The sequence below is a fragment of the Homo sapiens genome, chromosome X, assembly GCF_000001405.40.
Source record: "Homo sapiens chromosome X, GRCh38.p14 Primary Assembly".
NCBI lineage: Eukaryota > Metazoa > Chordata > Mammalia > Primates > Hominidae > Homo > Homo sapiens.
The window spans coordinates 3,716,833-3,733,788 of record NC_000023.11 but is presented as its reverse complement, the minus strand read 5'-3'; the positions used below and the strand labels follow the sequence as shown (position 1 = coordinate 3,733,788).

Below are 16,956 nucleotides of genomic sequence, written 5' to 3'. Positions count from 1 at the left end.
AGGCAGAGGTTACAGGCAAAGTTATAAAGCAATATAGGGAGGTTATATAGTGGTTTGACCTAAAAAGGCAGAACATCTCGAAGCAAGGGGGACCCGCAGGACATAGGTAGATTCAAAGATTCTCTGATTTGTGATGGGTTAAGGAAGGGAAGCTTTGTTTAAAAGTCTAGAGACAAAAGAAAAAAACTGTTAGCTCTGGTCTGTGGGCATGACCTCCTCCAGGCCCCTCAGGAAGGAATTTAGAACAAAGTACATTGGTCAGAGTTCAGTCCTCAGTTCCCCTTACCTGAGGTCCGTGCCAGCAGATCCGATTGGTGGGGTCTGGGTTCCTGAAAAACAGCTCGGGGACGTATGCTAAGATGCTATCTTTCGTTCCCATAGAAAGCCAAGCATCTCATGACTCTAGCTTCCTCGGCTGTTGTTTTAAGCTACCATTACCTTTTTACTTACCGAGTTGCTCATTGACTTCTCGTGGCCATCCAGGTGCCTGGAATTTTCTTTGAAGGAACTCAAGATTTGTCTTTACTTCCATGCTTCATGGGCCCTCAGGCCCTTACAAAGGGAGAACCTGCTCCATCCCACTGTCAGAGGCATTTGAACCATCTTGAGTAGCCGCTGGGTAAAATAAGGCTGAGACCTACTGGGTGGCATTCCCAGGAGGCTAGGCATTCTTAGTCACAGGATGAGACAGGAGGTCGGCACAAGATACAGGTTATAAAGACCTTGCGGATAAAATGGCATGCAGTAAAGAAGCCGGCCAAATCCCACCGAAACCAAGATGGTGACAAGAGTGACCTCTGGTCATCCTCATGGCTCATTATACACTAATAATAATACATTAGCACACTAAAAGACACTCCCACCAGCAGCACGACAGTTGACAAATGCCATGGCAATGAGACAGTCAAGTATAAAGCGGTCCCCGGAGAAACTCCAACCACTGTGCGGGCACTGGGAAAATGGGCTGGAGCCACGGAGTTCACGCCCTTTGCAGCGGGGAGGAGACTGGCCTCTTCTGTTTCAGGTGGAATCCAGGATTCAATCTGTGAGGGGGAGACCAGCTAGCGGGGACTCTCGCTTTGCTGAGAGTCCCTGTTTCTCTTTTTTTCCTTTTTGCCCAATAAATTCCATTTTTCTCACTCTTCAAAATGTCTGCGAGCCTAATCATGGCCATGTGGCAAGAACCTGGCTTTTATCTGAACTAAGGAGAAAGTCCTGCAACAGCAATACCTGGAAGTTACCTTATATGGTCTAAAAAGGGGAGGAACCCTCAGTTCTGGGAATTGCCCATCCCTTTCCTGGAAAACTCATGAATAATCCACCCCTTGTTTAGCGTATAATCAAGAAATAACTGTAAGGACCTAGCTACTCAGGAGGCTGAGGTGGGAGAATCTCTTGAGCCTGGGAGGCAGAGGTCGTAGTGAGCCGAGATCATGCCACTGCACCCCAGCCTGGGCAACAGAGCAAGAAAGACCCTGTCTCAAAAAAAATCAAAAACACGAAATACACAGGTGCTTACGCCGGGCATGGTAGCCCATGCCTGTAATCCCAGCACTTTGGGAGGCAGAGGCGGGTGGATCAGCTGAGGTCAGGAGTTCAAGACCAGCCTGGCCAATATGAAGAAACCCCGTCTCTACTAAAAATACAAAAATTAGCTGGGCATGGTGGCGAGCACCTGTAGTCCCAGCTACTCGGGAGGCTGAGGCAGGAAAATCGCTTGAACTCGGGAGGTGGAGGTTGCGGTGAGTCAAGATTGCACCACTGCACTCCAGCCTGGGTGACAAAGTGAGACTTCGTCTAAAAAAAAAAAATGTTCACCTAATCTTTTACAGACCATCCCCCTCTTTGTGAACTGTACCTGCCCTTGGGCCTTCTGCATCTCTTAGGCTTGTTAAACACTGGACATGCTGTTTATATCCCCCGTGACATAAGGCTTAGCACAAAATGAAAGGAACCATTTTTGTGGGTACCATTTCTTAGGTGCCTCATGTGAATAGAATCCTGCAGTATTTGTCTTTCCGTGCCTGGCTTCCTTCTCTCAGCACAAGGTTCTCATGGTTCAGTCGTGTGGTTGCATTTCTTAGGATTTCCTTTTATTTATTTATTTTTGAGCCAGAGTTTCACTTTTGCCCAGGCTGGAGTGAAGTGGCGTGATCTTGGCTCACTGCACCCTCCGCCCCCCAGGTTCAAGTAATTCTCCTGCCTCAGCCTCCTGAGTACCTGGGATTAAAGGCGCACGCCACCTCGCCCAGCTAATTTTTTTGTATTTTTAGTAGAGATGGGGTTTCACCATGTTGGCCAGGCTGGTCTCAAACTCCTGACCTCAGGTGATCCACCCACCTCGGCCTCCCAAAGTGCTGGGATTACAGGCGTGAGCCACAGTGCCTGGCCAATTTCCTTTCATTTTAAATGCTGAATAAGATTCTATTATATGTATACATCATATTTCCATTGTCTTAATTAATAGCTGTTTGTCAGAATTTATGATTTTCAGATAGATTGAACATTATTCTCATTTATTTGGATTAGAGCAATTATTCACAACTGGGGGTGATTTTGCCCCAGGGGGCCTCTGTCAGTGTCTGGAGACATTTTGATTGTCACAACTATGGAAGGGGGGGCGCGGCTACCTGAATCTGGTGGGTAGATCTCAGGGATGTTGGTCAAGAGAATAACAAGGGGGCTACTGTGACCAGGATCGCCGCGCCACAGAGACCCCCCAACAACCCCAAATGTCCACAGTGCTGAGGTTGTGAGATCCTGGATTATGAGATAGTGATTTCACAAGCGGGGAAGTTAGTGCCACATGTAAGGAGGCGAGCTGTCCGAAATTCCTCTGTTTTCACTTCTCTTGGCTAAATGTTGTATTTTAGATCTTCTTGTCCAAAGATAAAAATGTTTGTGTAATTTTCTCTATCACTTGCCAGAGAATGTAGACAACAGTTGAATCAGAAAATGCCTTTTTAAAGATTTTATTTTCGAGAAACAATCTTGCTCTGTCACCCAGGCTGGAATGCAGTGGCATGGTCTCGGTTCTCTGCAACCTTCGCCTCCCGGGTTCAAGTGATTCTCTTGCCTCAGCCTCCCGAGTAGCTGGGATTACAGCCTCGCCACCATGCCTGGCTAATTTTTTATATTTTTAGTAGAGACCGGGTTTTGCCATGTTGGCCAGGCTGGTCTCCAACTCCTGGACTCAAGTGATCCACTCACCTAGGCCTCCCAATGCTGAGATTACAGGCATGAGCCACCGCGCCCAGCCAGAAAATGCCTTTTAAATGGAAAATACAAAACACTTAAAGCTTTAATTTTTGTGTGTGTGTGTGTGTCAGGGAGACTTAAGAATTTGAATTCTTAAGCTTATACAATTTATATATGTGTATGTATGCATATATATATATATACATACATATATTTTGCTTGATTTTAAAGAATTTTATGTGACTCAGCTATCCAGGATATACTTTAGGGAACACATTTGGGTTTTCAAATATGTCTTGTAATATTGATAAGTGTGTCTGGAGTAAATCTCATGAATGTATTTCCATATGTAAAAATAAATGACCATGCTCCCTTAAAGAAATCACAGAATGACTAGGTGCGGTGGCTCATGCCTGTAATCCTAGCACTTTGGGAGGCTGAGGCAGGCGGATCCACCTGAGGTCAGGAGTTTGAGACCATCCTGGCCAACATGGTGAAACCCCGTCTCTACTAAAATACAAAACTTAGCCGGGCGTGGTGGTGGGCGCCTGTAGTCCCAGCTACTCGGGAGGCTGAGTCAGGAGAATCACTTGAACCCAGGAGGCAGAGGTTGCAGTGAGCTGAGATCACGCTGCTGCACTCCAGCCTGGGCGACAGAGTGAGAGTCTGTCTCAAAAAAAAAAAAAAAAAAGAAAGCAATCACAGAATATCTGGGAAATGATTGAGTGACTGCTGGAGGACCAGCCATTTCAGGAAAATGAAGAGGATAACGACGAAACCCTGGGTTAAATTGATAATAAATTTCAATTCCACCTTTGTTTTTGAGAGAGAGTCCCCCTCTGTTGCCCAGGCTGGAGTGCAGTCGCACAATCTCAGCTCACTGCAACCTCTGCCTCCCGGATTCAAGCGATTCTCCTGCCTCAGCCTCCCGGGTAGCTGGGATTACAGGCGTGCACCATTACGCCTGGCTAATTTTTGTAGTTTTAGTAGAGACAGGATTTCACCATGTTGGCCAGACTGGTCTTGAACTCCTGACCTCAAGTAATCTTCCTGCCACGGCCTCCCAAAGCGCTGGGATTACAGGCGTGAGCCACCGTGCCCGGCCTCAATTCCATCTTATTAAATCAAAGAGGGAGTATTCATTGTGGCTGTCAATTCCATATTTATGATACCACTTGCCTCATTTACTCCTATCTTAGGGCCAGGTGCAGTGGCTCATGCCTGTGATCTTAACACTCTGGGAGGCCGAGGTGGGAGGGTTGCTTGAGCCCAAGAATTCAAATCCATCCAGGACAACACAACGAGATTCCAATTCTATAAAGTTTTTGTTTGTTTGTTTTGTTGTTGTTGTTGTTGTTTTTATTAGCCAGGCATGGTGGCAAGTGCCCATAGTTCTATCTACTTGGGAGGCTGAGCCTGGGAGGTCAAGGCTTCAGTGAGCCATGATTGCACCACTGCACTCCAGCCTGGGCAACACAGTGAGACCTTATCTCTTAAAAAAAAAATTAAATTACTCTTGCTTTAATAAAAGTTGGCTTATGAAGTACAGATGATAATTGTACATTGTTTCAACATTTGAATTACTTTATTAACATTATCCATATAATGACCACAATTCATTTCTGAACTTGTAAGCCTTCTTTTTTTTCTTTTCAAGACTATGCTTAAATCGGGTATTAATTTAATGCAGATAGCAATGTTGTTTTATTCATAGCATTTGTGGATGCTTCTCAATTGGCTTTATGTCAGTATGTTGAAAGAATTTTCAGGTCAATGAAAATCAGACGAGTTAGAGGAGAGATCCTAAATTGTTCCAACGGCATCTCTCCAAGATAAGAAATGGCATGAGTAATAGTAAGAGCCAGTGACGTTCACTGAACCTCAGCACCCAGCTGGGTGGAACTGGACAAATTACTCACAATCAGGTCTGGTTGTTCTGACAAGATCAGAGGTCCGTGCAACGAATATTGTTTCTCCCCTCACTGCGATCTTCATTGCTCAGTTAAAGCACATGCAAGCGCACACTCATGAACGAGAACATTGACGTGACTAAATGCTAAGGAGTGAATCAGCTCAAATATCTTTAAACATTAAGCAAAACAATTCAGCAGCATGGTCTACATATTTTGAGAAACAATCTTATCTTGCTTTGCCTAATGTTAAACCGTCTATTTATACAAAGTAATTTTCTCTTTGAGGCAAGATTACTTTGGAGAGAATTGTTATATTAGAGAGAGGATGTTGGGAGTTTAGAAGCTGCTGCTCCTGGAGAAAAGCTGTGTTTGCTGATTCCTTCCCCAAGAAACTAAGATGTTCTTAGTTATTCTGGTAACATTTTAAAGATGTATTGAAATGAGCTTAAGAAGGCTTTAGAAGAATCAAGCCTACTGTTTGTCTTCCTGGATTTGTCTAAGAATGCCTTGCAAATGCCAGCAACCCCAACATTTGTAAAATTGTTGTAACGTTACCTAAACATGCGCAAACAAAAATAGGTGAAAACTCCTTAGATTTATACAGCCTTTACAACTTAAAAAACCCCACAAACACAGCATTCTTTTTTCCCCACTGTGGTTTCAACAATGGATTTCTTGCTATATTATTTTCCATGCAAATATAATTTCAGTTTCCCTCAGTGGAGTCTCTTTCCTGGGGTAAAAAGAAAACTTGAGACAAGTTTTATAAAACATGCTGGTTTGTGGTCTCTAGCATTATAGATTATAGATTGTTACAGAATCCACATCTTATTACAAAATTTACCGCTCTGAAAATAATATTGGGTCCTTTCTCGGGAACAAGAATTACTGTATCTCTCACCCTCATAAAAATTTATATATGGCTCTATTTGCCTTTTAATTGATCTCTTTTATTTATCTATTTATTTTTATTTTTTAGAGATGAAATCTTGTTCTGTTGCCCAACCTGGAGTGCAGTGGTGCCATCATAGCTTACTGCAGCCTGGAACTCTTGGGCTCAAGCAATCCTCCCACTTCGCCTCCCCAGTAGCTGTGACTACAGGTGCACCATCATGCCAGCTAATTTTTCTATTTTTTGTAGAGATGGGGTCTTGTTATATTGCCTGGGCTGGTCTTGAACTGCTGACTTCAGGCAATTCTCCCTCTAGAAGCGCTGGGACTATAGGTTCATGCCATCATGCCTGGCTAATTTGATCTTTTCAGACTTGTTTTTCTTCCAAAGATCTGTGCCAAGCTCATCAGTAAGGATGTAGCTCATTTATAGCAGGCGTGAGTCTCTCAGAAGGAAAAGCTTGCAATTTGTCGACTCTCTTATTTTTCTTTCAAAATAGGAGGCGATCCAGCTCTCATCACAGTTAATGAAAAATGTCGGGCCTGGCGCAGTGGCTCAAGCCTGTTATCCCAGCACTTTGGGAGGCTGAGGGGGGTGGATCACCTGAGGTCAGGAGTTCAAGACCAGCCTGGCCAACATGGTGAAACCCCGTCTCTACTAAAAATACAAAAATTAGCTGGGGATGGTGGTGCGTGCCTGTAATCCCAGCTACTCAGGAGGCTGAGGCAGGAGAATCACTTGAATCTGGGAGGTGGAAGTTGCAGTGAGACAAGATGGTGCCACTGCACTCCAGCCTAGGTGACAGAATGAGACACTTTTTTTTTTTTTTTGAGACGGAGTTTCGTTCTTGTTGCCCAGGCTGGAGTGGAATGGCACGATCTTGGCTCACTGAAACCTCCACTTTCCGGGTTCAAGTGATTCTCCTGCCTCAGCCTCCCAAGTAGCTGGGATTACAGGCACCCGCCACCACGCCCAGCTAATTTTTTTTTTGTAGTTTTAGTAGAGACGGGGTTTCACCATGTTGGCCAGGCTAGTCTCGAACTCCGACCTCAAATGATCTGCCCACCTCGGCCTCCCAAAGTGCTGGGATTACAAGCATGAGCCACCGTGCCCAGCCTTGTGATACCCCTATCTTTACAAAAAATACAAAAATTAGCCAGGCATGGTGGTGTGCACTTGTAGTCCCAGCTACTCAAGAGGCTGAGGCAGGAGGATTGCTTGAGCCCGAGAGGTGGAGGCTGCTGTGAATCATGTTGCACTACTGCACTCCAGCCTGGGCAACAGAGTGAGAACCTGTCTCAAAACACAAATAAATAAAAGAAATAAATTAAAAGGGAAATACAGCCATATATAAATATTTACGGAGGGTGAGAAATGCAGTAATTGTTGCTCCTGAGAAAGGTCCCAACATTATTTTTACAGCTGTATATTTTGCAAGATGTGGATTCTATAACAATCTTTAATCTATAATGCTAGAGACCACTAACCAACATATTTTATAAAACTTGTCTCAAGCTTGTCTTTGTACACCAGGAAAGAGACTCCATTGAGGGAAACAGATTATATTTGCATAGAAAATAATATAGCAAGAAATCCATTTTCTTTTTTTTTGAGATGGAGTCTCACTCCTGTAGTGCAGGCTGGAGTGCAATGGCACGATCTCGGCTCACTGCAGCCTCTGCCTCCTGGGTTCAAGCGATTCTCCTGCCTCAGCCTCCTGAGTAGCTGGGATGACAGGCACGCGTCACCACGCCCGGCTAATTTTTGTATTTTTAGTGGAGACAGGGTTTCACCATGTTGGCCAGGATGGTCTCAATCTCTCTTGACCTTGTGATCCACCAGCCTTGCCCTCCCAAAGTGCTGGGATTACAGGTGTGAGCCACCATGCCCGGCCTTAATGGTTTGTTTTTTAAAATTATTATTATTTTTTTTTAACATTTTAAAAATTTTTTGTGGGTACATAGTAGGTATATATATTTACAGGGTATATGCGATGTTTTGATACAGGCATGCAATACGTAATAGGCACATCACGGATGATGCAGTCTCCAGCCCCTCAAGCCTTTATCCTTTGTGCGTGCGTACGTGTGTTTAATTTTTAGAGATAGGGTCTTGCTCTGTCATTCAGGCTGTAGTGCAGTAGTACAATCACGGTTCACTGCAGCCTCGACTTCCTGAGCACAAGTGATCATCCCATCTCAGCCTCCCAAGTAGTTGGGACTACTGGCACACGCCACCACGCCCAGGTAATTTCTAAACTTTGTATAGACACAGAGTCTTGCTGTGTTGCTCAGATTGGTCTCAAACTCTTGGCCTCAAGCCTTCCTCTTGTCTGGGCCTCCCAAAGTGCTGGGATTACAGCACCTGGCCCCAACTTGACCTTTGTTTGTAGAACTACTCAGAAAATACGGCTGAATTGGAAATTGGGTGGTGCCAAGTGAACCCCACTCAATCCTTCTGTCGCCTTCTCTTTTGGGAAACTACTTCATTCTTTTGCCAGGGAACGGCTCTGAAAACAGAAGCTTGCATTCTAAGGTGTTATCCCTTTTTCCCAGGCCAGTTTTCTGTGGGGCCTTCACTCTACACCCAACAGAGGATTTCAGAAACACTGTATGGCAACTCTTACAAAGACACTTATCTGCCAGCGTCCAGGAAACAAATCCTGCCCAGTCACAAACTGACACAAATCCCAGTGAATCAAAAGGTTCACTTCCTTTTGGAAGGGAGGGGGCTTTAGCTTTCCTTCCCCAGCCCTACATTCAAACCAAGGTGAGATAAAGCATTAAATAGCTCAGATTACCTTCTAAGCACAGAGCTGGGCATGGTCTTCAAAATCAGTCAAGTTTTTTGTTCTTTTTTTTTTTTTTTTTGAGACAGAGTCTCACTCTGTCACCCAGGCTGGAGTGCAGGGGCACGATTTCAGCTCACTGCAGCCTCTGCCTCCTGGGTTCAAGTGATTCTCCTGCCTCAGCCCCCCGGGTAGCTGGGATTACAGGCATGCGCCATCATGCCTGGCTGATTTTTGTATTTTTAGTAGAGACAGAGTTTCACCATGTTGGCCAGGCTGGCCTCGAACTCCTGACCTCAAGTGATCCTCCCACCTCGGCCTCCCAAAGTGCTGGAATTACAGGCATGAGCCACCGTGGCCAGCCTTAACTTACATTTTTAAAGTCCATATATTTATGTAGTACTTTATGATTTTATTTTTAAACATACATTTGACCTATCGGGAGTTTATTTTGGGGCTAGGTGTGATGGCTTACACTTGTAATCCCAGCACTTTGGGAGGGTAAGGCAGGAGGATTGCTTGAGGCCAGGAGTTTGAGACCAGCTTGGGCAACATAGTGAGACCCTGTCTCTATTTAAAAAAATAACTAATAAAAACCCTTTATTTTGATATAAGGGGCAAAGAAGGAACCTGGCTTATATTTTAAAAAAATGTAACTCACTAGGCTGGGTGCGGTGGCTCACGCCTGTAATCCCAGCACTTTGGGAGGCCGAGGCAGGGGGATCATGAGGTCAGGAGATCGAGATCATCCTGGCTAACACGGTGAAACCCCATCTGTACTAAAAATACAAAAAATTAGCTGGGCGTGGTGGCGGGCGCCTGTAGTCCCAGCTACTCGGGAGGCTGAGGCAGGAGCATGGTGTGAACCCGGGAGGCAGAGCTTGCAGTGAGCCGAGATTGCACCACTGCACTCCAGCCTGGGCGACAGAGCGAGACCCTGTCTCAAAAAAAAAAAAAAAAGTAACTCACTATGCAGCTGTCTGAATACCATCTGTTTGGAAACATTTGTTCTTTCTAAGGCTTAAAAATGTCACGTGCTTGCTGGATGACTTCCGGACTCCAATGTAACGTATTTCTCAATCTCTTTCCAATATAAAACTATCTTCAGGGCCGGGTGCAGTGGCTCACGCCTGTAATCCCAGCACTTTGGGAGGCCAAGGTGGGTGGATCATGAGGTCAGGAGCTCGAGACCCGCTTGGCCAATATGGTGAAACCCTGACTCTCCTAAAAAATACAAAAATTAGCTGGGCATGGTGGCGCACACCTGTGGTCCCAGCTACCTGGGAGGCTGAAGCAGAAGAATCGCTTGAACCCAGGAGGCGGAGGTTGCAGTGAGCCGAGATTGCGCAAGCACACTCCAGCCTGGGCGACAGAGCAAGACTCCATCTCAAATAAAATAAAATAGAATAAAATAAAATAAAACTATCTTCAAAACTCTGGCTTTGTCAGGAAAAAGGCTAGTTCCCATCTGATGACAAGTATTTTTTTTTTTTTCAAAATTTTACGATTCTGTGTCTCATATTGATTCTCCCAGATAAACTTTAACTTCACTTGGCCAAGTTCCCACATTCACTTTGACGGGGAGGATGCCACATGGAATCAGCCGGAAAGAATGAGCTGAAGTACATGTTTTCCTCCAAGGTCAGGGTATTTGTTTTTCCTATGCCCTTCAGCAGTTTTCAGGTTTCCTTTGTATTAGCCTCGTACCGATAAGTATTGATGACTAGCTGGACAGGACCTGTGAAACACTGTGATTCATGGATGAGACACAGTACATATCCTCTTATCGCTCCCCTAGAAAATGAGATAAATTACAGAATCACAGCAATTTAGCAAGTCCTAAGATAACTCTAACCCCATCCATCACTTTACACACACTGGTTTCCAAATCTCTCAATTGGTATCTTTTATGAAATCATCTATCGTGTGTTCTGAAGTCTGTTTCATCATTACAAGAAAATTATTCATGTTTGTAGTCAAGAAGGAGAATCACATTAAAAATGAAGATTCTAGTAACTCCGTCTGCCACACTTTTTACATTTTCTCATCATTTTACATTATATTTTTATATCTGTAAGATTGGAGTGTATTATAAAATTTGGATTGCTGCCTATATGTCTTAAAATGTAACCATAGTTTTCTCACTCTGTTCCTGTTTATGAAGAGTTTGAAGATTTCCTCACATAAACAAACCAGCGTAAATGCACGCCTTCTCGTATTTTAAGGTGCTGAAGGTATTGCCTTGTCCCACTGCTAAATTTGACTGGCTTTAAAAAACAAACAAACAAACAAATAAACTGTGTTGAATAATGGGTAACTAGGCTGGGCATGGTGGCTCATACCTGTCATCTGAACACTTCGTGAGGTATAGGTGGGAGGATCACTTGAGTCCAGGAGATCTAGACCAGCCTGGGCAACATGGCAAGATCTCATCTCTACTAAAAATTTTTCAAAGTTAGCCAGGCATGGTGGTGCATGTTTGTAGTCCCACTTACTCAGGAGGCTGAGGTGGAAGGATTGCTTGAGCCCAGGAGTTAGAGGCTGTAGTGAGCTATAACTGCGGCACTGCACTCAAGCCTGGGCGATAGAGTGAGACCCTGTCTCAAATAAATAAATAAATAGGTAATTATAACCATGAAGCTTTTGCTGCACTGTGGAATTTAGTTTTGAAAAACAAATTCCTAGCTATAGAACGAGTGGACCAACACATATAATCATTTCTAACACTCTAAGGCTTTGCCCTAATTAACATTACAACCAAAAGTATATAAGAATTCTGTCATCATTATGGAACACTTTATCTTCCTAGTATTCGGTAGATTAAAAATAAACAAACAACTGCCACATTTGTTCTTAGTTGCATTTCTTTGACGGTTCTCTCTCTGCCTCTTTCCCTCCCTCCCTCCCTTCCTTCCTTCCTTCCTTCCTCCCTTCCTTCCTTTTTTTCTTTCACAGGGTCTTGCTCTGTCTCCCAGGCTGGAGTGCAGTGGTGCAATCATGGCTCACCGCAGTCTTGACCTCCTGGGCCCAAGTGATCCTCCTACCTCAACCTCCCGAGTAGGTGATACTATAGGCACACACCACCACACCCAGCTAATTCTTTTCATTTTTATTTTTTGTAGAAATGGGATCTTGCTATGTCACCGAGGCTGGTCTCAAATTCCAAGGCTCAGGCGATCCTCCCACTTTGACCTCCTAAAATGTTGAGATCATAAGCGTGAGCCGCTATGCCTGGCCCAGTCTGGCCTTTCATCTCATGCACTATGTAAGCTTGCTGTAAACGTATTTTCATTTTGTTTTATATTTCAACAACTGTCTTGACATTTTTAGGTAGTCATATCTATTAATCTTTACCCCTGTAGTTCGATCGCTATGAAGCTTAGAAAGTTCTTTGGAGCCCACCAGGGACTGGGCTTGTTTCAAGTTTGATTTATGTCCCCAATTTCAATTTAATACTTCTGGTATTTATTTCAGTTTCTTTTCTTGTGATGTCTTTGTGGTATTTTTAATTACGGTGCAAGGTGAGAATCAAAATCAGCTTTTTTTCCCAAAAATAGTGAGTGATTGAAACTCCTTTGTTACTTATTATGCTTAGAGACATAATGTGACTTGATGTGTTATAATTTTTCTCACGTTACTGTGTTGCACTTTGTGTTACCTGCAAGCTTCAGGGAATAGCCCAAAGCCCATCAGCAGAAAGAGAAGTAAAAGGATCTAATTCAGGCCGGGCATGGTGGCTTATACCTATAATCCCAGCACTTTGGGAGGCCAAGGCAGGAGAATCGCTTGAGTTCACAAGTTTGAGACCAGCCTGGGAAACATAGCGAGAGCCCTTAAGACCAGCCTGGGAAACATAGCAAGAGCCCATCTCTATAAAAAACTAGCCAGGCGTGGTGGCGTGCACCTGTAATCCCAACCTACTTGCGAGGTCGAGGTGGGAGAGTCGCTTGAGCCTAGGAGTCTGAGGCTGCAGTGGGCCATGATCACACCACTGCCCTTTAGCCTGGGTGACAGAACAAGACTCCATCTCTTCCAAATAATAAATGAATAAAAAAGGATCCGACGCAAGTGAATTCCAAATAACAAGGCCAGTGTCGTATCTTATAGGATACAGGAGAGTTGGTTAAGAGTTTTCACACACGTTTTTGCTTTCCCACACGTTTTTGCTTTCCCACATTGACATTATAGGGATCTAAATATTTAAAGGAAACCTCATTAACATATTACAGAACACAGCGATGGGTGTCCATGGTTATCTTACTCTCTTTTTCTTTTTAAATGGAGATGGGTCTCACTATGTTGCCCAGGCTGGTCTCAAACTCTTGGCCTCAAGTGATCCTCCCATCTCAGTTTCCCAAATCGCTGGGATTATAGGCAAGCGCAACCACATCCAGCTAATTGAAAAAAAATTTTTTTTGTAGAGATGGGGTCTTGGTATGTTGCCAAGGCTAGTCTCAAACTCCTAGGCTCAAGCAATCCTCTCGCCTCGGCCTCCCAAAGTGCTGGGATTACAGGTGTGAGCCACTGCAACAACCTCTGATGAATTCACTCTGAAGTCATCTTGCTTACTGACTTGCTTCCATACACATCATTTCTATTATTCTTCGAGTGAAATGTTACCTGTGACGTTCAAATCTGGAAATCCAGTTAAACAATAACATGAACACATCCCATTAGCTTCCCTTTTGAAGGAAGGATTTTTCTTTCTGGTGCTTTTGTTTACCGCTTTGGAAACATTATTCACCTGCATTCCTTCAATACCATAGTTTGCATTTTCCATAAACTTTACCAGTATCCCAGAAATAAAAACTATCATGTGTCTCTTGGATGAGGAGTAAACGCAGCCCATTCTAATTACAGGCTCATCTAGGCGTTTCCTAATGAATGGTTACCAGCGAAGACAACGAGGACATCCTCAAGGCTTTCTATTGGATTTTCTTTGGAATCGCTCAAGAAAAGCCTCCAAATAAACAGGCATGTTTAGAAACATTATTTTTAGAAGTCGGCGCTTGATACATGAACAAAATCGCTTTGATTGCATTCTACGTTTGCAGATTTTTAAAACTTAGTTTGTAGAAAGAGTGGCTTAGGGTTTTATGTTGTGAATTTTAACTAAATGACGTTCTGTCCAACTATAATATTTGGCCACCCAGGGATGAATTAATCCCTATAAACCCATTGAGAATTCAAGACCCTCTAACTTGGGAACTGAGTATAATACACATGTGGAAAATTTCATTTCACTCAGAAGTCCTATAATTTTTCATTTTTTCAAAAGTTGGTTTTGGTTTGTTTTGTCTTGTTTTCTTTTAGCTTTTAAGTTCAGAGGTACATGTGCAGGTTTGTCACATAAGTACACTTGTGTCACGGAGGTTTGTTGTACAGATAATTTCACCACCCAGGTATTAAACCTAGTGACCCTTAGTTATCATTCCTGATCCTCTCCCTCCTCCCACCCTTCACTCTCCAAAATGCCCCAGTATGTGTTGTTCCCCTCTATGTGTCCATGTGTTCTCATCATTTAGCTCCCACTGATAAGTGAGAACATGCTGTATTTGTTTTTCTCTTCCTGTGTTAGTTTGCTAAGGATAATGGCCTCTAGCTCCACCCATGTCCCTGTAAAGGACATGATCTTGTTTGTTTGTTTGTTTGTTTTTGCGACAGAGTCTCACTCTGTTGCCCAGGCTAGTAGCACAATCATAGCTCACACAACCTCTACCTCCTGGGCCCAAGTGATCCTCCCATCTCAGCCTCCCAAGTAGCTGTGACTACAGGCATGCACCACCAGGCTGGGCTAATGTTTAATTTTTTTTGTAGAGACAGAGTCTCATCATGTCTGCCAGGCTAGTCTCAAACTCACAGCCTCAAGAAATCCAAGAGGACATTTCTTTTTTTTTTTTTTTTGAGACGGAGTCTTGCACTGTGGCCCAGGATAGAGTGCAGTGATGCGATCTCAGCTCACTGCAACCTCCGCCTCCCAGGTTCAAGCGAATCTCCTGCCTCAGCCTCCCGAGTAGCTGGAATTACAGGCACCCGCCACCATGCCTGGCTAATTTCTTTGTATTTTTAGTAGAGACGGGGTTTCACCGTGTTAGCTAGGATGGTCTCGATCTCCTGACCTTGTGATCCGCCCGCCTTGATCTCCCAGAGTGCTGGGATTACAGGCATGAGCCACCGCACCCGGCCAAGTTTCAGCTGTTTTTAAAAGGCGTCCCTTTGGACATTATTATTATTGTTATTATTATTATTGTTTTTTAGACAGAGTTTTGCTCTTGTTGCCCAGGCTGGAGTGCAATGGCGTCATCTCAGCTCACTGCAACATGATCTCATTCACTCGCCTGCCTCCCAGGTTCAAGCAATTCTCCTGCCTCAGCCTCCCAAGTACCTGGGATTGTAGGCATGCACTACCACGCCTGGCTAATTTTGTCTTTTTAATACAGATGAGGTTTCATCATGTTGATCAGGCTGGGTCTCGAACTCCTGACCTCAAGTGATCCACCCACGTCGGCCTCCCAAAGTGCTGGGATTACAGGCGTAAGCCACCGTGCCCAATCCCATTGGACATTATGTCTCTAGAGAATCAGGCCCTGAAAAATGGCAAAAAGGTGGCTTCTAAGACTGGGAATGATGGTGATTCAGCTGGGCTAAGACCACAGCAGATCTCTGATAACCGTGGTTTTACATACATTTATAAAATCAATTTCATCATCTTCAATTAGTCACAATGGGCCCGGCCCATCAGCAGAGGCAGAAGTACTGAAGATTGTACTGGAATGTAGCCAACTCCTAGGCTATAGTGAAGTCCTAACATGTAAAGCCAAAACTAACCCATGATGGTACCGTCCTGTGACAAGGAAAAAATGAGAAGAGAAGATTGCAAAGCTACCAACAGTGAATCAGTCCTTGTAAGGAACATGCTAGGCATTGGGGATGACTCGATAATGCATGAAAATACTCAAGCCCCAATAAATGGCTCATCTGAGAAAACGAGAATGAACTATGTTGAGCATGAGAAAAGACGGATTCTATTCCTGGGACGCAGTAGGCACGCAACCAAGGGCATTACCGTAATTATGGTGATATCTGAGTACTAAAATTTGAAACTGTATTGCTGTAACTAAACGTTTATCAGAATTCCCTTCCTGCCTTCTAAGACCAAATCATAGGTGGATATATCCTCAGGAAATGATAGAGTTTCCATTCCTGGCGTGGTCTAAACAGGAATTGATCACTGTATTGCTTGGAGGACCCCTTTCCAGATGCCCTGGGAAGACCTCTTACACTTGGTCAAATAACAAAGTATGGAGGCACTGTGTGTTTCTGAAGCTATGGTTTTTGTTGTTGTTGTTGTTTGTTTGTTTGTTTTTAGTTCATGTCTTTTATTAACTCATACACAGTTACTTGTCTTCTGGTTTGTTGAAGCAGTAAGTCAGACAACATTTGCCGCAATAATGTCTGTCAAAGTGGCTTACCAGAAACACTCCAGCTCCACATTCGTCAGAAGGGCACTAATTTTGTCATTCTCATCCACCTTATAACATTTCAGGACATCCAGCTTCACCTTCTTTCTCTTGTGCTTATTCTTCTTGGGAGTGGGGTAAGACTTCTTCCTTTTCTTAGCAACACCACAAAGTCTCAGCAAAAGATGAAGAGTAGGCTCCTTTTGAATGTTGCAGTCAGACAAAGTACGTCCATCTTCCAGTTGCTTGCCAGCAAAGATCAGTCTTTGCTGATCAGGAGGAATTCCTTCCTTATCCTGGATCTTGGCCTTTACATTTTCTATCGCATCTGAGGGTTCAACCTCAAGGGTGATGGTCTTCCCCCTTAGGGTTTTCACGAAAATCTGCAGTTTGGTGGCAGCTTCACCGCAGATGGCAGTGAAAGGGAAGCTGAAGCATATGTTTAGGTCAATAAGTTGCAACATAAATATATATATACACACACACATATATACACACATATATATACACACAAACACATATACACATATATATACACACACATATACATACATATATTTTATATATTATATATGTTTAACTCAGAATATATATATGTGTGTGTGTATATGTCTGCGAAGGTGGCTAAACACTTCACGTATATACACACACACTAGAATATATATTATATAAAATATACTAGAATATATATTTATATAAGTTATA

The 16,956-nt window shown here is 43.6% G+C and overlaps 1 pseudogene, besides 1 other annotated feature; it reads right to left on the bottom strand.

Annotated features, from left to right (window-relative positions):
• Positions 245 to 1,444: an enhancer, noted in NCBI's record as "BRD4-independent group 4 enhancer chrX:3650386-3651585 (GRCh37/hg19 assembly coordinates)". NCBI's record gives its function as "activates an origin of replication core promoter dependent on BRD2, P300/CBP, MED14 and CDK7 cofactors, and independent of BRD4, by STARR-seq in HCT116 cells {active_cell/tissue: HCT116}" and the evidence as "EXISTENCE:reporter gene assay evidence [ECO:0000049][PMID:35650434]".
• Positions 16,157 to 16,680, bottom strand: RPS27AP20 (RPS27A pseudogene 20; annotated as a pseudogene).